This window comes from Homo sapiens, chromosome 8, assembly GCF_000001405.40.
Source record: "Homo sapiens chromosome 8, GRCh38.p14 Primary Assembly".
NCBI classification, from domain to species: Eukaryota; Metazoa; Chordata; class Mammalia; order Primates; family Hominidae; genus Homo; species Homo sapiens.
In genome coordinates, this window is record NC_000008.11 from 91,110,033 (window position 1) to 91,136,035 (window position 26,003).

A 26,003-nucleotide genomic window follows, 5' to 3' on the forward strand; every position below is an offset into this window, starting at 1 on the left:
ATATGCTAATTCAAAAATGTAAAATCGTTATTATTCCCTCATTAATTTGATTCGATTACCTTTACAAAATAGTTTACAGAACCTGACATGTATATTATATACTATTTGATTATAATAAATGTGAATATTTACTCTTCTTAAGGAAGTTAAAGATTCACTCTTCTTAAGGAAGTTAAGTAGTTCAAACATATTTATACATCTTATAGGCAAATAATCAAATAGTTTATTCCAAAATGGTATAACCATGATTTAGTTTAGGAAGACAGTCTTCCAGATAAAGATGGACATTTGAGAATTTTTTTAATACTTAAAAAGGTTTTATCTGGCCAGGTGCAGTGGCTCACGCCTGTAATCCAAGCACTTTGGGAGGCTGAGGTGGTGGGGATCACCTGAGGTCAGAAGTTTGAGACCAGCCTTACCAACATGGTGAAACCCCATCTCTACTAAAAATACAAAATTAGCTGGGTGTGGTGATGCATAACTGTAATCCCAGCTACTTGGGAGGCTGAGGCAAGAGAATCACTTGAACCTGGGAGGTGGAGGTTGCAGTGAGCCGAGATCATGCCATTGCACACCAGCCTGGGTAATAAGAGCAAAACTCTGTCTCAAATAAAAGGCCAGGGAGTGGGGGAGTTTATCTAAGTTAGTCAAAACCAAGTAATTAAAATATATAATAAGTAGCATAGAGTTTTCTAGTGATAATTAATAGCTACAAGCATGGAATAATTAAATATTAAGAGAGGCTGTCTGGTCCAAGTTCTAGGCCTACATATGATATGCACTACATTGAACTGAATATAGGGGCTAGTGAGAATGAGCAGGCTAGAATAAAGAAAGCATGCAGCTCATTAGAAGGAAATAAATAAAGCTGGGCAAATTAGAACAGATTAAGCTCAAAAGATACTTGATTTTGAAAATAAAAACTGATGTGGAGCCATAATGACTATTCCATAGTTTGAGTCTTTACAGAGATGATCTAAGCAGGCATCATTCAACTAATATTTATTGAGCAACTATTATATTCCAGATATTGTTCTTTGAATGCTAGATGATTCACACACAGACCCTGTCATTGGAAAGTTTCCTATTTAATAGTAGAGGTAAAATATACATGTGAATCATAGAATCAACATAAATGCCCATCAGTGATATGCTGGATAAAGAAAATGTGGTACATATATACCATGGAATACTATGCAGTCATAAAAAATGAGATTATGGGCCAGGCACAGTGGCTCATGCCTGTAATCCCAGCACTTTGGGAGTCCAAGGTGGGTGGATCACGAGGTCAGAAGTTCAAGACCAGCCTGGCCAAGATGGTGAAACCCCGTCTCTATTAAAAATACAAAAAATTAGTTGGGCACAGTGGCAGGCGCATGTAATCCCAGCTACTCGGGAGGCTGAGGCGGGAGAATCGCTTGAACTCAGAGGGTGGAGGTTGTAGTGAGCTGAGATCGTGCCACTGCACTCCAGCCTGGGTGACAAAGTGAGACTCCATCTCAAAAAAAATAAATAGAAAAATAAAAATGAGATTATGTCCTTTCCAGGGACATGGATGGAGCTGAAGGCCATTATTCTTAGCAAACTAATGCAGGAATGGAAAACCAAATACCACATGTTGTCACTTATAAGTGGCAGCTAAATGATAAGAACGCATGGACACATAGAGGGGAATAACACACACTGGGGCCTATCAGAGAGTGGAAGCTGGGAGGAGAGAGAGGAGCAGGAAAAATACCTAATGGCTACTAGGTTTGGTACCTGGGTGACGAAATAGTCTGTGCAACAAACCCCCATGACACAAGTTTACCTATGTAACAAACCTGAACATGTATGTACCCCTGAACTTAAAAGTGAAAAAAATAAAAAATATATATACACAAGTCATTATAATATAAATAATAATAATTGATAATAGAAAGTACACCGTGCTATGCAAATGCAAAAGGAGGATGCCTTCATGGGGAAGATGGTAAATCTCAAGGGGAAGCATTAAGCACGAAAATCTGTTATAATTATTGGAGAACCAAGATATTGTTAGTATTTAATGAAAACAGAATCCTGAAACACATCATTACTGCAGAAACAATAAAGAATTTTTATCCAGCAAAATTAACAGTCCTTCTGTGGCCATTTTTCTCATTCCATGAAAATGTCATTCAGAAGTGGCTGTGACCTGGGACCTCAAAGCCGTGATCACTCTGCATGTACCTGTGCTCCAGACCCAGCTCTGCGGCTGCTCTGCATGCACTTGCACTTCTGACAGTGGCATCTCTGTGGCCCAAACATGCCCATGTGCTGGACCTACCACCAAGGGGCATCCCCTTGGCCACAACTACCCCTGATAGAAGGAAAAGAGATCAGCAGCACTGCAGCACCTTTTACTGCCAAGGACCCCAATATATGCAAATCAATCAATGTGATATAACACATTAACAAAACGAAAGAAAAAAACCCAGATCATCACAATAGATGCAGAGAAAGCATTTGACAAAGTTCAGCATCCATTCATGATTAAAGCTCTCAACAAAATAGGTATAGAAGCAATTTACCTTAACACAATATAGGCTATATATGAGACTCCCACAACTAACATCATCATCAGTGGGGAAAAGCTGCAAGCTTTTTCTGTAATATCTGGTACAAGGAAAGAATACTTACTTTCTCTACTTTTCAACATAGTACTGGAAGTCCTAGTCAACAATTAAATAAGGAAAAAGAAAGGCAACCAAATCAGAAAATAAATAATGTTATCTCTGTTTGCAAATGACATGATCATGTACATAGAAAAGTCTAAAGACTCAATAAAAAACCGTTAGAACTAATAAATGAATTCAGTCAAGTTGCAGGTTATAAAATCAACATACTAAAAATCAATCATATTTCTATATACAAGGAATAAAGTATCTGAAAAGGGAATTAAAAAATCAATCCATTTACAATAGCAATAAAAATAATAAAGTACTCACAAACAACCAAACAGGTCAAAGATTTATACATGAAAAATTATAAGACATTAATAAAGGAAGTTGAAAAAGATACATGTAAATGGAAAGACATCCCTTCATAGATAGGAAGAATTAATATTATTAAAATGTCCATATTACTGGAAGTGATCTACATATTCAATGCAATTCCTATCAAAATCCTAATGGTATTCTTCACAAAAATAGAAAAAACAATTTTAAAATGCATATGGAACTACAAAGCAACCTGAATAGCCAAAACAATATTGAGCAAAGACATGAAAGCTAGAGGCATTATACCTCCTGATTTCAAAATATATTACAAAGCCACAGTAATCAAAACAGTGTGTCTTAGGCATAAAAACAGACACATAGACCAATGGGACAGAATAGAGAGCCCAGAAATAAATCCACGTATGTATGATCAACTAATGTTTGAAAGGGTGCGAAGAGCACACATTGGGGAAAGGATAGTGTCTTCAATAAATGTTGGGAAAATTAGATATCCATATGGAAAATAATTAAATTGGACCCTTATCTCATATGGTATACAAAAATCAACTTAAAATGGATTAAAGACTTTAATGTAACACTTGAAACTGTGAAACTACTAAAAGGAAACATAGGGAAAAACTTCTTGACATTGGTCTGGACAATGATTTTTTGGATATGGTGCCAAAAACAAAAGCAACAATAGCAAAAATGGACAAATGGATAATTTAAAACTAAAAACCTGCACAGCAAAGGAAACAATCATCAGAATAAAAAGGCATTCTACAGAATGGGAGAAAATATTTGCAAAGCATATATATGATGTGGTTAAAATACAAAATATATAAGGAACTCGTGCAACTCAATAGCAAGAAACAAACAAACAAATAACCTGATTTAAAAATGGGTAAAGGGGCCAATAGGAGGATCATTTGAGACCAGGAGTTCAAGACCAACCTCCACAACATTGCGAGACTTGTCTCAAAAAAAAAAAAAAAAAAAAAAGGTAAAGGACCTGAATAGCCATTTTTCAAAAGAAGACATGTAAATAGCCAATAGGTATATGAAAAGGTACTCAACTTCACTAATCATCAATGAAACACAAAGCAAAACAAAAGTGAAGTATTATTTTACACATGTTAGAATGGCTGTTATCAGAAAGACAAAAAGTAAGTATTCACAAGGATGTGGAGAAAAGGAAATGTTCGTACATTGTTGGTAGGAATGTAAGTTGGTACAGTCATTATGGAAAGAGTATGAAGATTCCTCAAAAAATTAATAGTAGTATGATCCAGCAATCCTACTCTGGGTATATATCCAAAGCAAATGAAATCAGTATGTTGAAGAGGTATCCGCACTCACATGTTCATTGCAGCGTTATTCACAATAGCCAAGATATGGGAACAACCAAAATGTCCATCAATGGACAAATGAATAAAGAAAATGTTTGTGTATGTGTGTGTGTGTATATATATATGTATGTATGCACATATGTCATGTGATGCCTAACAGCATTTCAGTTAACAGTGAACCACATATATGACAGTGGTCCCATAAGATTATACGGTATTCTTACTGTACCTTTTCTATGTTTAGATACTTTTTGATACACAAATACTTACCATTATGCTACAATTGCCTTTAGTATTCAGTACAGTAACATGCTGTATTGCATAGGTTTTTAGCCTAAGAGCAATAGACTATACCACATAGCATAGTAGGCTTATAGCAGGTGCATAGTAGGCTTATACCATCTAGGTTAGTGTAAGTACTATGATGTTCACACAATGACAAAATTGCCTAACGATGCATTTCTTAGAATGTGTCCCCATAGTAAAGTGACACATGACTGTATATGCATTGGAATATTACTTAGATTTAGAAAAGAAAATTCTATCATTTGCAGCAACATGGATGAGCCTGGCAGACATTATACTAAGTGAAATAAACCAGATGCAGAAAGACAAATACTACATGATTTCATTTATACATGGAATATAAAAATGTCAGACTCAGAATCAGAGAGTAGAATGGTGGCTACAAGGGTCTAGGGAGAGGGAGATAAGGGGAGATGTAGGTCAAAGGGCACAAAGTTTCAGTTATGTAAGATAAATAAGTTTTGGAGAGCTAATGCACAATGATGTGACTATAGTTAATATTGTATAGTATACTTGAAATTTGCTCAAGGGGTAGATCTGAAGTGTTCTGATCATACATACGCACACAGAGAAGAAGTTACAAGAAACAGTTTGAGATAAATGGGTGGAGAAAGCTGTTAAATAATAGGATGAGATTTTCTTTTGCAGGCCATCTATTTTATTCAGAGGTTGAAAACACATGCCTCCAGGCAGGTAACATATGAGAAAAAGGGACTAGGAAGGAACTGTGGCTAACTGGTAGCTCATACATGCATAGTCAGTAGTGACAGTCCAGCCAGTCCCCAGCACTGGTGGATTTTTGTCACAGCAGGATTGTGTATTTAAAGGTTCTGTGGAAAGAAATACTATTTTTTAAAATACTGTGTCTATTAGTCATACCAGTTTCTGAGCTAAGAGTTTAGGCTTAATTCAGCAAATGGGATGCATTGTTCTCTATGTACTAAAGTATGCAGGAATATTTCTTTAAACTTTTCCAGTCTAAATGTTTCTTAAATTTTTGCCCAAACATCTGGGAAGATCTCTTAGTTTCTATCAGATATCTCCCTTTTTGCAATTTGTAAATCAAAGCGATTTTCTAAATTCAGTCAAGTAGGAGAGGAAAATAGAATTGCTGTTGGTGACTGTGGCTCCTAACTATGGTTAGTGAGTTCTGAGGGTGAAACAAAGCTGACCCTGGAGTTGTTCCTTGGCACTTCCAGCAAGGCTGCTTCAGGTTCCTTGCCTGTGGTTGACCCTGCACATGGAGATCCTGCCAATCCCACTCATATTTACAGGTATCACTCCTGCAGGTAAGCCTAACATACATGTCTCTTCACCGTGAGCCAGGTAATGAATATATATGTGTAATTTAATCATGGTTTATAACCTATGCCTAATAAAAGAGTGCTTGTGAATTTAGAAATGTTTGAAAAAATGAGTTAGAAATTAAGAAAATAAGCAGGTTTTAAATTTGAAAACTAGTAAAGTGTCAATATGTATGTATGTGTGTATGTGTGTGTGTATCAGGTGTTTACTGCATTTCTAGCACCAGGTATGGCTAACATTTTACCCCACAGTATTTTCCTGGGCCTAAAAGATTACCATTTAATAATATCTGCTATTTGCCTGGCACTTTATTAAACTGTCTCTAATCCTTAAGACAACCCTAAGAAGTAAATGCTAGTATCCCCATTTTTATAAAGAAATAGAGGCTTAGGAATTTGAGTGACTTGCCCAAGATCACATATTCAGTACATTGCATAGCAAACAGCCTGTGCTTTGCCTACTGCACAATACAGACTCAAGAATGTGCACATGATAGGACAAGGATATTTAAAATGAGAATTTCATGTATTGTATTCCATTTCATTTTGTGAGCATGTGTATGTGTGTGAGCATATGTGTCTGTATACATATATATATATATTTGTATCATGTGCATATGTATGATCATTCTGAGCAATAGTAAATTCCTTTTAAAGATGCGCAGTGTATTACTGAAGACAGTGGAGGGTAGGAGTTAGGAATATAGGCCGTAGAATGAACCTAGGTCATTTCACCATAAATCATAGCCTGGACTTCAGATCCCTTTTCTGTAAGATCAGGGTTATTGCGAGGTCCACATTAGACAAAATTCAGCTTGGCACAGTGTTTCATATATTTGGCACTTAATTTAAATTTAATTTAAGTATTGGTCAGTATTGTCATTAATAATCTGTATGTTTTCTCCTTAAATTTCTTGTCTTCTCTCTTACTTATTAAAAATATCACTATACATTGAACCTAGATTCTATAATCCAAAGGCATCAATGGACATTGAGATGCTTGCCTCATATCCAAGATGTAAGAGAAAGTGCACATGCCTATTTTAAGGCAGGCCACAGATAGGCTATAACTTTCAGGTATGAGTGGGTCAATACAATCAAACAAATCAGATAAAATTTAGTAAGAGCATAGACAGACAGTATTTGGAGCAAGTATACAAAGACATAGAAAAGACTATCTACAGGGAGGTTGGAAACATTTAGGATATACTGGGTAGAGAAATTATAGGTTCATCTTTTGGGCAGCTGTTTAGATACAATCTAGTAGGATTGAATAAAGGGAATTTAAGTCACAATACATCCATTCTTTACATCTTTTGCTATGTAATGCTACAGGCAGGCAGTAATGAGTACTAGGTTCATTGCAATGAGATAGAACTGAAAAAGGTACATCTAAAAGGATTTTTAAGACTAAAACTTGGTGGCAGATTGAATTTAGGTGGAGGGAGAGAAAGATGTTCTAGGTAGCTCCAATGTTTGGCCGCCATAGGTTTATGAGAAGTGGGAGAAGCAGATCTAGTTTGTCCAGGGGGCATTGTCCAGTTTTATACTTTGAATTTAGAGTGATCCACTGGAGTTATCTTAGAAGCCGAAACTAACAAGATCCACTTTTTTTTTTTTTTTTTTTTTTTTACAGGGATAACTGTAAATTCCTACATTTAGGTTAAGAAATGAATTCAATTGCACAAGTCCAGGATGTGGGATATCTGCTTGACAGTTAGCTTAGGGGTTTTTATTGGCCACAGACAAAACTAATTATGCACCAACAATGTGCCTTGTTGCTGAAAGAGTACATGCCATGTTAGGCTGCATAATAGAAGTGTTGTCATCCGCCAGAGGGAGACCCGTGGTCCCACTAACATATGTGCTATGAGAGCTGATTTCCTGTCTCACCATAGGCTCCATCTTTTCAGAGAGGGGTGCTCACAAAAATTAGAGAGTGGTCAGTATGGTCAGGGGTCTGGAAATTATGTCCTGAGGGAAATAGTTAAGGGAAAATGGAAAAAATTTAGAGGGAATATGATAGCAATCTTCAAAAATTTGAAAGATTATGTGAGAGAGAAGGAGTGCAAATATTTATTATGATTGCTGTGAGAAGAATTGGGTAGAAATTTCAGAGAGCCTAAATACTAAAAAATTAAATATAGATAGCTAGATCTTCCTAACAAGATAAAAGTGCTACCCATTACTGGGTGTGCTCATGGGGAAGGTATATAATTGCCCACCTGCATTCTGTATGTTGGTCTAGGTGACTTGTAAAATTTCCTTCTAGGCCGGGTGCGGTGGCTCATGCCTGTAATCCCAGCACTTTGGGAGGCTGAGGCAGGCGGATCACTTGAAACCAGGAGTTCGAGACCAGCCTGGCCAACATGGCAAAAATCCCATCTCTACTAAAAATGCAAAAAAAAAAAAAAAAAAAAAAAAAAAAAAAAAAAAAAAAAAAGCCAGGCGTGGTGGCACATACCTACTACTTGGGAAGCTGAATGAGAATCACTTCAACCCAGGAGGCAGAGGTTGCAGTGAGCCGAGATCATGCCAATGCACGCCAGCCTGGGTGACAGAGTGAGACTGTCTCAAAAGGAAAAAAAAATTCTTCTAATTGTAAGTTGCTATAATTCCGTGGCTCATGGGTCTATGAGTAGCAATGGTGTCTTTCAATCTATAGCAATCAGTAGCAATGGTGTCTTTCCATCTATAACCATATCAATTTCCAAGGGAGAGAGAATACCAATAGAACTTCATTCTACATTTAATTACTGAAGAGATGCAAGCTTTAAAGCTTATCAAATAGTTGTCTGTCATATGACTAAAGCCTTCCTTCAGGAACTACACATAACCGTAGAGAATGTTACTAATGAAACACTGCCTACATTCTTTCTGTATATCTGCTATTTCTGCAGTTCTTTGTTAGTAAAACACCATTTGAAACAATGTTGTCAAAGCATTCCAAATATCTTACATCAAGTGTCATCTTCTCAGAGAGTACTTCTCTAATGACTCAATCTAGTCCTGAGTTACTTTCCATTGCATTATCTTGTTGTCTTTTTTTCATATTTAAGACTAACTACTAACACACTATTCATTTGTTTACTTATTTGTTGTCTGACTCACTTCCCAACATAGAAGCATTGTAGAGAGGGATCTTGTGTGTCTTGTTCACTCTTCCTCTAGCATTCAGAAATAGTACCATCATAGACATATCTTAAACATAATTGAATTAATGAAACATCTAGGTTGGGGCTTGAGGTATTTCTCAAAGGTAACTCTATCCTTGCTACAGTGTTTCTGGACCTTTCTGTATAATTTAAGTAATCTACACTGAAGCTCTGATGTATTTGCCATGGTGACAGAGTATAAATGCTACTACCTAGTCTTTAAGAGACATTTATGAATTTAAAGGCAATCAGTGAATCTTCCTTTGGTTATCCTATGCTATGAAGAATATTCCCAGTCGCACTCACTTCATCTTAGTTTTGACTTTGAAATCCTTTACAAGTTGAGGTTTTTATGTGAACTCTCTTCCTCTTCTCCAAGCTACATTCTTGGTTGCAGAGCTCAGAATTTCACATGGTAGCTTCTTCCAGTCAAAGGACCATGTGGTTATCCAGATAAAATGTCTTTTCCTAGGTCATCTATCCATTTTATAATATCTTGGGAGCTAACTTGGATGAGATAATCAACTGTGGTTGTCGTTCACCCTACTACATTCCCCTAGATTGCCTTTCAAAGTGACTTTTTCCTTTTCCTCAAACCTCCTAATCTCCTCCTCTCAGCAGATGACTTTGTTTCATATTTCCGTGAGAAAACAGACATCATCCTTCAGGAACTCTCTCATCTTTTCATCACGAATTCATCTACTTATCTGATCCTCACTCACCCTTTCCTACCTTCCTTCCTACTACCCTTGATGAAGAGCCCTTTCACTTATCTAAGGCCAGCACCCACTTGTACTTTGTACCTGTCTCATCTTCTAAAGGATTTTGATTCTGTGAGTGTCCCCATATTTAAGGCATGAGTTTCTAATCCCTACAGGGTTATTTCCATCAGCACATAAATAAGCTATACTATCATTTATCTTGGGGGTGGGGGGGAACTCCAGCTTCTTCTTCATTTTCTAGTTTCCCTTCATAGCAAAAGTTCTTACAAGAATTGTCTATTAGTTGTTGTCTTTGCTTTCTCACATTTTCTGCACAGCCCACTTCAATTAGACTTTCTTCCCCAACACTTCACCCCTATTTTCAAGGTCACTAATCACTTTCCAATTGCTAAATCCAGTGGTTATTTTGATGCTTTAATTTTGTTTAGCCTTCCCCTGGGATATGTCCCAAATTTTCCTTTTTAAAATACTTTTTGTTTCTTTTGCTTTTGCCTTGGATTCTGTTACACTATATATCTGGGAAATCCTGAAACATAGATTTTTGTAATATTGAGGCATTTCTCTCAGAAGAAACCTTCCCAGGAGTGAGGGAATCTGGACAGGGCAGGGAAAGAACCTGGATAAAGAGGTGGTTCCAGGAGAAATGTAGTCTCAGCCCAATCCCTTCAGAGCTTTGGGGCATGCCCTGCAGCACAGAGGCAAAGGGGTTGGGCTGTTATGTCCTGGCATCTGCCATGGTGTAGCAGCTGTCTGGAAGGATGGAGCAGAGGCACAACCTTCCAGGTAAAGCCCTTCCTTGCAGTTAAGGGAAATTCTTCCAAGAAGGGCGCAGGAGAAAGTCCTCACGGGATAAATTCATGGTAGCTGCGGATGGAGCACGACTCAGCTGTGGGATGTGGTGTACCAGATGCTTTAAGTGGCCTATCTTTGCCTTCTACTTCAGCCACTCCTCAGTCAGTTCCTCTGCTGGGCTTGCATTCTCATCTCTTAAAATTCCACATGATGCCTTTTACTTACTGAAAGCTCACAAATTTATTCTGTGCTCTTGATTACTCCGGAGAACCCTAGAATTACATTTACAGCTCCTACTTGACATTTTCATTTAAAGATCTAAAAGGCTTCTTAATTTTAACAGGGATAAAACTAAACTCTTGATTCCTTGTCCCTCCTCCAAACCTGCCCTTGTCCCAGTTTCCCCATCTCAGGTGCTCAAGTTCCAAAGTTAGGTGCTACTCATGATTCTTCTATTTATCTTACATCATACAACATTCTGGCTCTTCATCCAAAGCATATCCCAAACCCATCCACGTCTCTCCAGGTCCACCATCCACTACCTAGCTAAAGCCATTGCCTCTTGCCTGCACCACTGCAGTATTGCCTCTGTGTTCTCTTTGTGTTTCACTTCTTGCTACCCCTGCAGATTCTGCTGTACAGATGCCAGGATGATCCTGTTAAAACACATGTCAAATAATGTTACACATATGCTTAAAACCCTACAGTCATTTCTCACTGAACTTAGAGTAAAATCCCAACCCCTTACCCTAGTTTATGAAACCATATGTAATCTGGCCCAAGTATACCTTTCCAACCTCTTTTTCGCTGAGTGTTCCTCTACCTGCAGTGCTCAGCCACATTAGCTGCATCTCCTGGGGCTCCTCAACCACACCAAGAATGTGCCTCCATTGGGGTCTTTATTTTGACAATTTCTTCTTCCTTATTGTCACTCAGATCTCAGTCTATATATCAACTTCTAAGACAGGTTCTCCTGATCAACAAATCACTTTCTCCTCACTCTTTAAATTGTCTCTAGAACACTTAATACTGTCTGTTATTTTTGTATTAATTTGTTTAGCCATTTAGTCATTGGATGGTTGCTTTCTTACTGTGTAAGTGCCTTGAGGGCAAAGATGTTACATGTCTTATGCATGCAATGAATATTTTTTAATGAGTGAATAAATGAATGGTGACCCACCTGCTTTAAGAGATATGTATTCACTTAGAATATGTGCAGTTTAGACTGCATTTTTAAGCTGTTTGTTTATGGATATATTTCTAAGCATCAAAAAACCCACAAAAAAACAAAAACTAAACCAAAACTGAAACCCACCCTGCTTTACAGTCAAGATTGATTATAATCTGTGATTTCCCTTTGACATATGATGAAATCTAGTTACTATGTATCTTCATATATCTGGGCCAGACCCTTATATTCTGTAAAACACAATGACAAAAATATATCTAACTCTTATGTAAGAACTTACCACATAACATACAAAATGAGCACTGTACAGTATATGCCCTCAGAAATACACAGAAGAGCATTGATAGTGTGGGACATTACAAGCTGTTTCTTGTTTACTTTAAAAATACATGTTACCATCCCTTTTTTTAGGTGATAATTCACCATGAGTCTCACACTTCTGCACATTCTGTTAACAGAGGCACTGGCTGGCTTTGTTTTGGACCAATTTTTCCAGTATAATTACATAGCAGACAAGCTTGGAAATTAGAAATAGTGTCTCCCTCTGGACCGAAGGGCAGGCATGGTTACTGCCCATCATAAAAGATTCATCATAAAAGATTTGCCCATCAAAAAAAACTCATTGTTCCTGTTCAGTAACACAGCCTACTTCACATCTAGGTATCTCTTTGTGTTCTTTGCATTTTCAGTGCAAAAATAGTAATATTCTGGACACTTCTATTGCTCTAAGTAGTAAACGGTCCCTTGTATCTTTCCCAGGGGTCTCATGTTTTCTACCAGCATTCATGAAACTGTGGCAGGTTCACTTGTTAGCTTGTAAACTGGGTAAAATCTTGGACCTTTCACAATGCCTGACACATTCTTGCGTATCTCGCCAGTCCTCAGGGAGATTTTCTTGGGCTGTCAGTACTGCTAGACTGCTGTGCATGTTTCACTAAATTTAGGCAAAAGAATGAAATCTACCTTGTTTTGGAAGAGACTGCAAATAGTCACTTTGATAGGCAAATAATGGACCCCCAAAGATGCCCACACCTAATCCCCCAATCCTCTGAATGTGTTAGGTTATATGACAAAGGGAAATTAAGGGTGCAGCCAGAAGTAAGGTGGATAGTCAGCTAACCTGGAGAATGGGAGGTTACCCTAGATTATCCAGGTGGACCCAGTGTAATTATGAGGTTTTTAAATGTGGAAGAGTCAGCATTAGTGTGATATGATTTGAAAAAGACTTAACCAGCCATTGCTGGCTTTAAAGGGGAAAGTGGGGCATATAAGCCAAGGAATGGAGGCTGACTCTGAAAGTTAGGAAAGGCAGGCAAACAGATCATCCCCTGGAGTTTCCGGAAAGGAACACCAGCTTGATTTTAGTCAGTGAGACTGTTTCTGATTTCTGATCTCCAGAAATATAAGATAAATTTGTGTCGTTCTAAGCCACAAAGTTTGTGGTAATTTTTTATAGCAGTTATAGGAAACCAATACAATTACAGACTCTGGATAAAATAGCTACATGAATGTATTTTAACTTCACATTTACAATAGAAGAAGGCCTCAAACATGGTAGTAGATGTATTATACTGTTATAAATTAGGATAATGGTAATTCTTAGACAAAAGCACATATGCAAGTAAAACCTTTACCATGAATTCTTAGGATGAGAAATTTCATTTTAATATCAATGTATATTTCTTTGTGTTAATTTAAATCATTGTCTTACATCCATAACAAGTACTAAGTGACATTTAAATATAAATTGTGAATGGCTTCAGTTTTCTTCTTAATTTTTTTGGTTTTATGTAAATTCATTAGTTTGTTAAAACTTCCAAGATTCCTTTTATTTGGCCCTTACTATTAAAATTCTAAAGTATGCAATTGGTAATTAAACCTGAATAGTAAATTATGTTTAGGAGTAAAGTAAAAGACTCTTTGTATTTTGGAAAGTATAATTAGATTTTACAACAAAGAATATTACTATATTTTTGGGAACAATCTGTATCACTTATTTATTGGATTACAACATCAAGGAGGAACTTTTTAACTCCCGTTATGTGCAGTTCTTCCTAGGCCTGACCAATCTGTTCTCTGTAGGACAGATAACTGTAGGGTAGATCTTTTCTACGCTCATTATACCATTTCAATAGTTTGTTTTCTAAATTTTGTGATCCCACAGAGTGACATCACCCACAGAGCCCACACAGCCTGCAGTACCAGGCTGTGTACATGTAATAGAGTGGTCTTATGGCCTAGCTCATTTGGGAGTAGTATGTCAGGAGGACCTCAGATCTTTGGCTATGTTTCTGTTTTCAGTAACTTAGCTCCTTTGCTGAGTGTTTAATAGTTTGATTCTATAGGTCACAAGGTTCAGATACTCTTAAATTGTTCAAATGATTTATAAATGGATCATCGGTTGTGGTTTTACATATCCTTGGGATGGTTAGTAATATAATTTTAATGAACTTAAGTGCTCTAATTAAAAATTAAATTGTGCTTTAATTAACATAAAGTGAGCATGAAGCTCAAATGAACTTTGTTTGTAAAGATAACTTTAGGTATAACTGAAATAATTGTTTAAAAATATTTTGAAGTTTTCTTAGGTTACATAGATGTGAGCAAGGGAGCTTAAATTATTTCTTTTTTTCATTTGAAGTTGGATGATATATGAGTCCATTAAACCTCTATATGTTTGCAGTTGACAACACTAAATCTGGGAAACAACCTTTTAGAAGAAGTTCCGGAAGAGATGAAATATCTTACATCTCTGAAGAATCTCCATTTATCTGGAAATAGGATCTGTAGATTTGCACCTGGAGCCTGTGGTAATTTAATCAACAAGGAACAACATTATAGCATCAAATTTAATCTCTCATATTTAATAATATGAGACTGAAATGAAAAAGAATTTTGCATGTTTAATCTTTTTTTGTTGGAGATATTTACATACTACTCTTGAAATATAGGAGGAGACAACACTTTTAAAAAAGTATTGTATCATATGTTTATTTACATGTAGACCTAAGAAAATAAGTAAGCATCAGTGTTAATGAATTTTCCTCTTTGTAGAATCAGTATAAAGTCAGATTGTGAATCTGGGGACCCTTTTCCTAAGCCAGAGATAATTCTATTGGGAAATCAAATCAAGTAAAGCTATACTGTAGCTTTGTTCTTTTCACTTTTTATTCTGTCTTAGATATTAAGTCACACTTTTTGATCAAGATGCTAAACTTAAATCAATTTGGGGAGAATTTTAAAGAAAAGATATGAGATCCAATAAGCATTTTTTTCTTTCTTTTTCCCATTAACTAATAATTTCTCCATTCAAGATGATGCTATTCTTATTTAATATTCCTAGAGTGGGCTTAAGGACAAATGTATGACAAAGAGATCTACATGGCTTTTATAGCTTTATCAACTAATGTAAGGTACTTCACCACTTTCTGTGTTGGTCCTTAGTAGTAAAATGAGAGAAATATTATAAAATTTATAAATTTCTATGAACTTTTGAGGCATGGGTGCTATATATAATCATTGTCATCTTCACACAGAGTTTATTAATGGCATTACTGCATGCAGCAATAAATTAGGGGTTATATTTGGCAAATAGCACAAGTAGACTCTAGTACTGTCTTTTTAAAGGTACTTTAAAATCTTAGGTCATGTATCTTGGAACAATATTCTTTTCCAAAATAATAGATGTAACAAACAATTATTGAACTTGAACACCTTATATATGCAAAGCCACAGACCAGAGTTCAGTTACAATTTACCTTGGAAGAAAACAGTTTACACTAAAAAAGTTAAGGTCATGCAAATCAATAGATAATAATATTTTATGACCTATACTGAGGGGACAAATTTAAGTGCAACCTGATATACATAAACAATATTGAACATACTAATTTATACTAATTAAGGCTCTATAAGGAATTTTGTATCATGTTGCCTTTAAATTTGAGGTAAGTTAGGTATATATATATCTGTATCTATATCTGTTTAGATATATTTTATATATGTATATAAAATTTGTTTGGAGTGCTCTTGAATGTCTTTAGTTTCTATATTTCTTTTTAAAAATAATTATTTTTTTAATTGACAGATAACAATTGTACATACTCATGGAGTACATAGTGATATTTTGATACCTATAATATATAGTGATCAGATCAGGGTAATTGGCATAGCCATCATCTCAAACACTTATCATTTCTTCGAGTTGGGAACATTCTTGACTTGGGGTTATTGAACTTTGAAAATCCCATGTGATTGACCTAAGTTATGTTCTATGTCAGGTCCTGATGATTCAAGGTCAGAAGTAGTTTGATGTCAGGGAGTTTAATGCTGCCCAGCATGGGTAGAATAACCTTGTTGCATTACATGACCCTATTTCCCTGACCAGAGCAGATTGATCAGGGCTGGAGTTGGGTCCCAAGCTAAGCTTGTCATATTTTCTCTTTCTTGGGAATTGTGATAGAGTCTAAAACAGTTTAATTGGTTTGAGATAATTACATGACCTGAGGCAGAGATTGCAAACTGGTGGCCCATGGGCTGAAGCTGGTTCATAAATAAGTTGATTCTATTTTTTTTGCCTTTAAAAATCTTTGAATTAGGTGCCCATGTTTTCAAATCAGGAGAGTTCACAAAGAAGTCTGGATCTCTGGCTCTTTTTAAAAATCTGTTTTAAAAAAGAAAGATTTAGCAACACTGCAGTTGCGTTCCCATATGACAATTGCCAGAGCTGGCTGAATGGTGGTGGCCCTGTCTGACATGGCATGGGATTATCATTTTGATTCCTGTGGACATGTGAGTTTGAAAGCTCTGTCTTCCCTGTCAATGAACATTCAAATTCAGAAGTTGTGATATGGTTATGAGTACATAGAAAAATAGAGCAAACATGTTCAAAAGAGAGAATGGAGGGAGGAAAGAGAGAGCGGGTAAGATATTATAAATACGAAAATGAGAGAAGCTGTAATGAAGAACTAAATTATATTTTCTGCAGAGATATTCAGACAGTACATTCTCAGGTTCTGGGTGCTTTTAGCTTCTGATTCCAGTTTTTGATGAGCCTGGTTGCATCCTCATTCCACAGGCACAGTGACTTAGATTTGTAACTTTGTGATAAATTACTCCTTTTTGCTTGAGCTAGTTTAAGAGGGTTTCTGTTACCACCACCAAAAGAGCCTTGGCCAAGGCAAGAACCAGAAGGAAAACAAAGGTATGTAGAAAAGTAGAAAAGTGACTAAAAATTATCTAACAGATGGCTAAAGTGACTAAAATTATTTTCTAACAGATGGCTTACAAAATTTAATCCTGCTTAATCTGAACAACAATCATCTTACGCAGCTTCCTCAAGAAGTCAGCAGGTAATTTTGTTTATAGCAAGACTTGGTTAACAATCGTGCCCCTCCTCTATCCCCACCCTGGTCATTTGAAAGCATTATGCCTAGCATAAGTCCCTGTGAGATTTATACATAGCAAAGAGGGATCTGAAGGACTGAGGCAAGCCACTAATTTTAAGCAGATGATTCCTTAAACACTTTGGAGAAATGAGAAACAGCATGATAATCTTAGTGTAAACATTGGGCTTTGAAACATAAAGTTCTAAAACTGATGGTCTCATTGATTTCCCAACTCTGAGGTTCTTGGAGCTTGGTTAGCCACAGAATTGGGCACATTAAATGTTATTTCGCATGTGTATTGTAAACCATTTTGAGCTTGATGGAAAAGGTAATGTAAAAACTAAGGATTTAAAACTGCAATGTCATTTTCGTTTTTAAAAACCCCACATTTTATTGTCATTAACCAAAAAAAAAAAAAAAAAAAAAAAAAAAAAGGCTGTTTTTCCTTATCCTGCATATCTGCACAGGCAGAATGCCTTTCTGGAGCCAGCTGAGAGCCTTGTCCTTCTGTAGGCAAAACACGCTCTTGGGCTTTTCCTCTGACAGATGGAGAGAGAACTCTGTTCAGGTTTACTTTGGAGACTCCCTTTATTGCCTGTTGAGCAGAAACAGATGTGTCACAGAGCAAGAGCAGCATCCAGGGTTTTAAAAGAGAATACAAAACTTTGAACAGTCCTCAACACAGTGCTTTCTGCAGCACCTAACATCTATTCCAATTTACTTGTCTATACCTCTGGCCAATGTATTATTTTTTCCAAATATATTTTTATAAGGAAAGCAATATTTTAAGTCAGAGCAACTAGAAAAGAATTGAATCAATCTAATTTCTATAAAAGATAAATATTTGCAGCAATGAAAATGCCATGCTAATAGTTGTCTGCTTGCTTTTTTACAAATTCAGCTTATCAATCGATGTATATATTGATGATGATATAATTTTAAAAATCCCTTGGGAGATCTCATGAATGAGGTTCAGGGCATATCTCTGTGCAACTAGATTTATGCCTTTGGACCAGTAATTTAACTACTTTGAACTGCTGCCTTCTCATCTCTAAAGAAAGAATTTTGAATAGATGAACCTCAAAGTTTTTGCAGCTATAACACGTTATGATTTCACAATTTCATACACTTATCTCTGTTTGGAATACAAATTACAGTATTCAAGGAATCGTAAATCTAAGGGAATATGTTAGAAAGATGAAAGAATGCTTTCACTGAAGAAAGTAGGATTGCAGAGTGTATAGGTCTATTCTGTCTTATAGTTAACTCTGGATTGTCTATATTCTGGCCATATCCTACTAGATATCAATTAATTGGTCATCTCTCTAAGTAGAATTCCATTTCTGAGCCTGGGAAAGTTTCTTCACTTTCCTATATCTTAACATCTTCACCTGCAAAATGAGGATGATGATAGTATTTTCAGAAAATAAATCGGATTGTTTTGACAGTTAAGCAAATTCATACAATATATTTAGGGTTGAGCCTTGGACATAAAAGGTATTAGGGTTGAGTAAGTGCTCAATGGATGTTAGCTTTTATTATTATTGGTTGTTATTTTTATTCTAGCTTCTTTCTGTTCCCTTTGTTCACTGATTTCCAGAGACAAAGGAATGACTTCTCAGTGGATTTGGGCAAAGCATTGAGCATATGTAGTTTGGCATTCTCCTCTTGCCCTGCCATGAAGTAAGCAGCAGCCTCAGCAGGAAAGGCTGTGAATGGGGTGGTATATTTAATGCAGAGGAGGGCTAGCAGGGACTCAGAGTGATCATGTCAGCTCTGTGCTGATGTTTGATTTCCTTCTCTCTAAATTCCATATCTTATTTCTCAATTTATTTAGAACTTAGGAGAGGGAAAAGGAGTTTTGTTTTTGGCTCATTTAAACTACAGAATATCAGTTCATGGACTTGGAGTCAAATTTGGGCAGGTAAGAGTTTTACACCTAAACAGCTCTGTCATGGACAGCGCTGCACAGGCACAGGAAGAGGACAGCATGGGCATCCTGGTGACAGAATGAGTCTGGAAGACAGAGAGAGAGAGCAAGGGACTAAGTCAGCAGGCTCAGTTCTTTCTCCAAATTCGTCAGTCAGTGAAGTTGTTCTTCAATCTCCTGGGGAAGACAGATGTCAGGGAGAATCTACAAGTGTATCTCCTATAGATTTTCTTTGGAAAAGTAGGACATCTCCCTGCTTTGTGGAATCGGGAACAATGGCAGATATTTGTTTCTCTCCCTGCTCTTTACTCACACAAATGAATGATGGACAAATGAACAATAGGATCTGAGCTCATTTTATTGCCTTGAAAGAACAAAAAAGTTAAAACCAACTCCCATGATATAGTAAATCAGAGTAGAATCAATAAAAATGATAATAAAAATGATTATAAAAATGATTAATGAAGAAAATTCCCCATCCCTTTCCCCACAGGACCTGCTCCACACATTTTTACTCCATTTCAGTGCTGAGTTGTCCTTCTTTGACCCTTTATACTGCAAAGAACTTCACTTCCTATTATCCTGAGAAATTTGAGCTCCCTCAATTTCCTTCTTTTCAGCATCTTTCTCTCCATTGTTCTATTTCTTTCCTTCCTCTCGCTCTTGCTTCCTTGTCATCTCTCTCTGAAGTCCCGTGTCTTTTGCTTTTGCTTCCTGTGTAACACATTGTAAATTCTCTTCTGTCTTCTCCATTCTACCTTAGATCATTTTCAAAAGTCGTTACTGTCCTTTACATAGTCAAATATAATGGCCTTTTTTTTCTGCTGAATAAAAATTACATAAAACTATTCAATGCATTTTGTACTATTCAATGCATTTTGACAAATGTACGCACACCAATAAGATGTAGAACATTTTCTTCAGCCCAGAAATTTCCTCATACACCCTTCCAGTGAATTCTTACCTCTCATAAGCAATCAATATTCTGATTTCTGTGTTCTTTACAAATTAGTTTTACCAATCCTAGAACTAAATAAATGGAATATGGTATATACATTTTTGTGTCTGTCTTCTTTTGCTTAGCATATTTTTTGAGACTCATATAACTGTTGCATTTATTAGTAGTTCATTGGTTTGTTTTTTGTTTTTGTTTTTGTTTTTTATTGAGACAGAGTCTGGCCCTACTCACCCAGGCTGGAGTGCAATGGCATGATCTCGGCTCACTGCAACCTCCGCCTTCCAGGTTCAAATGATTCTCCTGCCTCAGCCTCCCGAGTAGCTGGTATTACAGGTGCCTGCCACCACACCCAGTTAATTTTCATATTTTTAGTAGAGATGGGGTTTCGCCATGTCTGCCAGGCTGGTCTCGAACTCCTGACCTCAAGTGATCTGCCTGCCTCGGCCTCCCAAAATGTTGGGATTGTAGGCGTGAGCCACCATGCCTGGCAGTTTTTGTTTATTCTGAGTAGCATTTCATTGCGTGAATATGCCCTAAATCATTTGTCTTTTCTCCTATTGATGTACATTTGGGTTATTTCCAGTTTAGGGCTATTATGAATTAAGCTACAATAAACATTATTGTACAAATCTTTTTGTAAACATGTTTAATTTCATTTTCATTTAAATTTCTAGGAGTAAAACAGAAATTTATTTCTCATAGTTCTGGAAGTTGGGAAGTGAAGACCAAGGTGCTGGCAGATGTGATGTCTGGTGAGGGTCTACTTCCTGGTTCTTAGAGTGGCACCTTTCTCACTGTGTCCTCACATGGTAGAAGGGGCAAGGAGCTCTCTGGGGCCTTTTGTAAGGACATTAATTACATTTATGAGGTTTACCCCATCATCATGACCTAATCATCTCCCAAAGGCCCCATCTCATAATACCATCACATTGGAGATTAGATTTTAACATATGAATTTTGAAGAGACACAAATATTCAGACCATAGCACTGTCATTTCTCCAATACCATATGATCTTGATTATCTTGATTGCTGTAGCTGCATTGTAAGTTTTGAAATCAGGTAAAGTGAGTCTTTTGATTTTATTCTTTATAATAGTTTGGCTATTCTAGGTCCTTTCAATTTCCATATAAATTTTAAAATTGATTTGTCTTTTTTTTTTTTTGTTTTGTTTAAGATGGGGTCTCACTATGTTTTCCAGGCTGGTCTTACACTCCTGGGCTCAAGCAATCCTTCCACCTTGGCCTCCCAAAGTTATGGGTTTACAGCCATGAGCCACAGCACCCAGCCCAAGTCAAGTCTTATACAAAAAAAGCTGTCAAAATTTGTATTTGAATCTATTATTGAATCTATAGATCAATATTAAAAAGTTGATATCTTAGCAATATTTTGCTTTTCTATACCTGAATATAATATATCTCTACTTTTATTTAAAGCCCCTTTACATTCTCTCATTCATAATTTATAGTTTTCAGTGTAGAGGTCCCTCATGTCTTTTGTTATATGTACTCTTAACTATTTCATGAAGGTTTTTTTATACATTACTATAAATGGAAATCTTAAACTTTTTATTTTCCAATTGTTTGTGGCTACAATATGGAGATACAATAGATTTTTTAAATATTGACTTTGTAGTTTGTGACTCGGCATTATTTCTACTAGTTTTGTTTGTTAGTTTGGATTATCTCTCTTTAACATTTAAACTTTTGACCATCTCTTTAATTTTGAAATTTTCTTTTCTCACACCTTCAGAGATTCCTTGCTAATCTGGTTCTTCTTCTACTTCTGTGTTCATAACTTTGCTGGGTGCCTTTAATTTTTAATGGTCAGTTGTTTATATTTCTCAAGAATCTTTCTGTTGGCTTCCTCTCTCTTCTCTCTGCCCATTTTCTTTTGTTGTTTTTCCTATCAATCCCAGGTATTCATATGGCTTCTACTATGTACGGAGAGATCTGTAGAATCCTCAAAATTCCCTTTGCTAGCACTGATGACTTCCTAACCTCCAGTCTCCCATTTTCAACTGCCTAAAAATTTAGTTCCCTCATTCTTACATTACTTCAATCTTAACACACTTCAACCTTGAGATCATTACATGTTTTCACTCTTAGCTTTGCAAACAGACACACCTGCATTAGAATTTTGACATTGTTACCTACTAGATAGGTAACTTGGGGAATTTATTTACTGCCTCTAATGCTTTATTTTCCTCACTTTTAAAATAAGAGTAGTAATTCCAACCTCAGAGTCATGTTGATGATTATTAAATTTAATGCACAGGCATGTAGTTGTGCTTAGTAATGTTAATTCCCTTCTGCTTCCTTATTCATAATATTTTTCTTAGCTTACTATTCCCTCTTATTGCCCTATTTTATAAGTTCTTTTATTCAGGGCCAAATTCAAAATGTCAGTTCTTTAGAAAAACTTGCAATATGCTTCAGGAACCATATCTGCAATTACAGACTCAAATTTCCTTAACCTTTTTCTCCTTAGCCAATGGCATTTGCTGTTCTCAGTTTGTGGCTCTATTTAATATCTCCTAAACCAGGGCATCCAAAAGGGCAGAATTTGTGGCTGATTCATCTTTGAACTTCCACAGCAATTGAGCAGTACTCATATCTATTTGGTACTAGGTATATTTATGTCTATGTATGCTTATGCCTGTTCCTGTATTGATCTATATACATAGGTATGTCCGTGTTCTCCTTGTCCTCTAGCTTTCTCTTGGGTATGGCCAATGTATATGTATAAAGAAAGGAAATATAATTTTCTTTTTCTGAAATCTAGGTTTTGATTACCTAACATACTTTTAACATAAGCCATCTGATTACAAAAGATCTTTAAAAATTAAATTTCAGCAAAAACTTTTTATACTCATGATCACAATAGTTGTAAACACTTGACTGAAGTAAGCTCAGAAGAGCTACAAAAAATAAATTGACACATGGCTTCTGCTAAGTTGGGCCTATATAGTGGACTCTTATTCTTGTGAGTTTCATTCATATACTTTGGTGTTTTTTTTTTTTTAGATTAAAAAGTCTTACTTATATGAGTATAAATTATAACCAACTAGCCAGCATTCCTAGAGAACTTTGTTTTCTTGAGAATCTTGTTGAACTTCAACTTAACTACAATCAGCTGATATGCATACCTGAAGAGATTAAATTCTTGAAGAAGCTTCAGAAGCTTTTGCTAGCCAGAAACAACATTGGAGTTTTGCCGGAGGTAAGCAAAACATGGAACCACAGTAGTTTGCTGTTGGAGAAGAACTCAACATGATGGGAGGTGGTTATAGATTAGATTTGGGTATCTGAGTATAAGCCACCACTTGCTTTCTCTCAGATTAAATGTAGTCAGTTCCCAAATCCCTATGACAGAAGAAGGCTATAATTTGAATTATCCCACATAGCTAGGGCTGCCAGATTTAGTAAATACAAATATAGAATGCTCACTGAAATTTGAATTCCAGATAAGCAATGATTAAATTTTTTACTATAAGTATGTTGCAAATATTGCATGGAATAGACTAAAAAACCTATTTATTGTTTGGTATTTCTTTCTTTCTTCTTTTTGAGACAGAGTCTTGCTCTGTTGCCTAGGCTGGAGTGCAGTGGCACAATCTTGGCTCACTGCAACCTCCACATCCCGGGTTCAGGTGATTCTCCTGCCTCAGCCTCCTGAGTAGCTGGGATTACAGGCAGACACCACCATGCCCGGCTGATTTTTATAATTTAGTAGAGACGGGGCTTCACCATGCTGGTCAGGCTGGTCTCAAACTCCTGATCTCGTGATCCGCCCACCTCGGCCTCCCAAAGTGCTGGGATTATAGGCGTGAGCCACCGCACCCAGCCTTGATATTTCAATTTAAGTGAGCATTATATATTTTATCTGGTAACGATGTATACAGAACAAAATACAAGTTCATTTTGGCTTTGGAATATGTACTGGCTCTCCTTTTTTCCTTCATATTCACTTTCTGTCCTGCCTTCTGCTTGGGAGACTGACCTGTGTGGGCAGCAGTGAACTTCTTTGTCCTCTGGTTTCCTCTTGGATATGGCAGATGAGAGGCACTAGCAGGAAGTGACAGGGCAGGAGGATAGCAAGTAGTTGATGGTATTCATAATTATGGAGACTGAGAAGTCCTACAGCAGGCTATCTGCAAGCTGAAGACCCTGGAGTGCTGGTAATGTGGCTGAGTCCAACTCTGAAAGCCTCAGAACCAGGGAAGCAAACGGTGTAATTCTCAGTTGGAGGTCAAAGGCCTGATTACTGGGAGGTTGTGGTGGTGGCTGGAGGGGAGGGGTACTGGTGTAAATCTTAGAGTCTAAAGGCTGGAGAGCCCAGCGTTCTGAGGTCCAAGGGCAGAAGAAGAAGTGTCCTAGCTCCAGGAGAGAGAGGAAATTACATTTTTTTTTTCATCAAGTCACTAACTGATAGGATGGTGCCCAGCAACAGTGAACATGTATCTTTCCCACCCCTTCTACTGACTCACACACCCATCTCCTCTAGAAACAACCTCACACAGACACACCCAAAATAAAGCTTTACCAGCATTGTAGGTATTCCTTAATCCAGTCAAGTTGACACCTAAAATTAACCATCACACTAGACTTCTTATAGTTCTATCCCAAACAACTGTTTGCTCTTAATGGAACATCATTTGTTCCAAATAACTCAGAGAATCTCAGCTTAAACTTCACTTTTTCCAGGAAGCCTTTCCTGACCTCCTAATACCAAATTTTCCATATATCACTGTTTCCTTAACCCTTCGTAACACTTCTCATTCTCATAGCACAACTTTGTCCTTGCCTATTTGTGAGTTTTTAAACCTTCATTGAATACTTGTGAGGGGTATACACATGCAAAGATTTGAAAAAGACAGCAACAAATATCAACAGCAATAATAGTGGCAGTCATGGCAGCAAAAACAAACAAATGAAAATGCAAGAGTCGACAGCAACGGAAGTAATGCTATGAAGTGTTTTCAAGTAGGGTGGAAGCCCTTATATCATAACATGAGATACTGAAGGAACACATTGGAGTCTGAAAATCTCTGCAGCTAAAACAATACAAAGGAGAGTATCATGGCAATGGAAGACTATGTAGGACTTAAGAAGAGGACTCCCTTCAAGGATTTGCTGCCTAGCTGTAGGGAATGGGGATTGCAGACAGCCTCTAGCTGTTAGCTCTTTCAGTAACTTAAGTAATCCATTCAACAACCGTATGACTTAAGGGCTTCTATTAGCATTTTCATTTTACAAATAAAGAAATTGAAGTACAAAGCAATTAAGAAATTTGCCCATAGTTATAGTACCTGCCAGAGGTGAGATTTCAACCTAGATGTAGTGTAACTCACAGTGGCCATGTTATGTTGCCCTGGAGTGGTCAGAGGAAATGAAGAATTCAAAGAGCTGGCAGTCCAGGATATGGGGGTCTGCTCGGGAAGATGTGCTGAAGAATTGGTCAGTACAGTGATTAGAAAAGATGGCCACCTTCATCATGTTGGAGCTTTAAAAAAATTTATGATTTTCCTTATGATTTTAAATATTAGATTTAAAAAATCTCTCTCTTCTGTTTTCTGACACAGGAACTTTGTGATCTTAAAAAACTAAGAATCCTAGACATAGCTGGAAATATTATTCAGATATTTCCATCAGGAGTAAGTAGAGTCAACTTCCATTATAATTGAAAAATAATTTTGTTTATGCTATTGGGAATAGAAAAAATATGGGCAGACAGTAAAACCTGTAGTAATTGAAACCTTAAATTATACAAATGACTCAAAGATTTGCTTTTAGAATTTCAAAACCTGTTCTCTCCTGTTTTTTTCTTTGTGTTCTGTGCCTGCTGAACTTGTTTGAACTAAGTTAACTCTGATTGCTATCACAAATATTTTAATATATCAGCTATGATTAAATTTTTTGGTTATTACACACTGCTTTTGGTCACCTCTGG

At 36.7% G+C, this 26,003-nt stretch overlaps 1 protein-coding gene across 3 annotated transcripts in view, besides 1 other annotated feature; it reads left to right on the top strand.

Moving 5' to 3' along the window:
- Window positions 1-26,003, top strand: part of LRRC69 (leucine rich repeat containing 69) — a 116,639-nt gene that overhangs the window by 7,414 nt on the left and 83,222 nt on the right. Inside the window, exons 2-7 of one of the 3 annotated variants that reach the window (NR_148895.2) lie at window positions 8,192-8,520; window positions 17,056-17,128; window positions 20,267-20,385; window positions 20,727-20,804; window positions 23,078-23,273; window positions 25,636-25,707. The exons of 1 other annotated variant lie outside the window; for it this stretch is intronic. Coding sequence is in view for 1 of the 2 variants with exons in the window: in NM_001129890.2 (NP_001123362.1) it covers window positions 14,461-14,587; window positions 17,056-17,128; window positions 23,078-23,273; window positions 25,636-25,707 (468 nt within the window). In the remaining variant the exon portion in view is untranslated. Of the gene's footprint in view, window positions 1-8,191; window positions 8,521-14,460; window positions 14,588-17,055; window positions 17,129-20,266; window positions 20,386-20,726; window positions 20,805-23,077; window positions 23,274-25,635; window positions 25,708-26,003 lie in introns of all 3 variants that reach the window. One more of the 3 variants, NM_001129890.2, reaches the window with a different exon arrangement.
- Window positions 9,536-9,736: a silencer, noted in NCBI's record as "peak7106 fragment used in MPRA reporter construct". NCBI's record gives its function as "represses an SCP1 promoter by STARR-seq MPRAs in K562 erythroleukemia cells {active_cell/tissue: K562}" and the evidence as "EXISTENCE:reporter gene assay evidence [ECO:0000049][PMID:32103011]".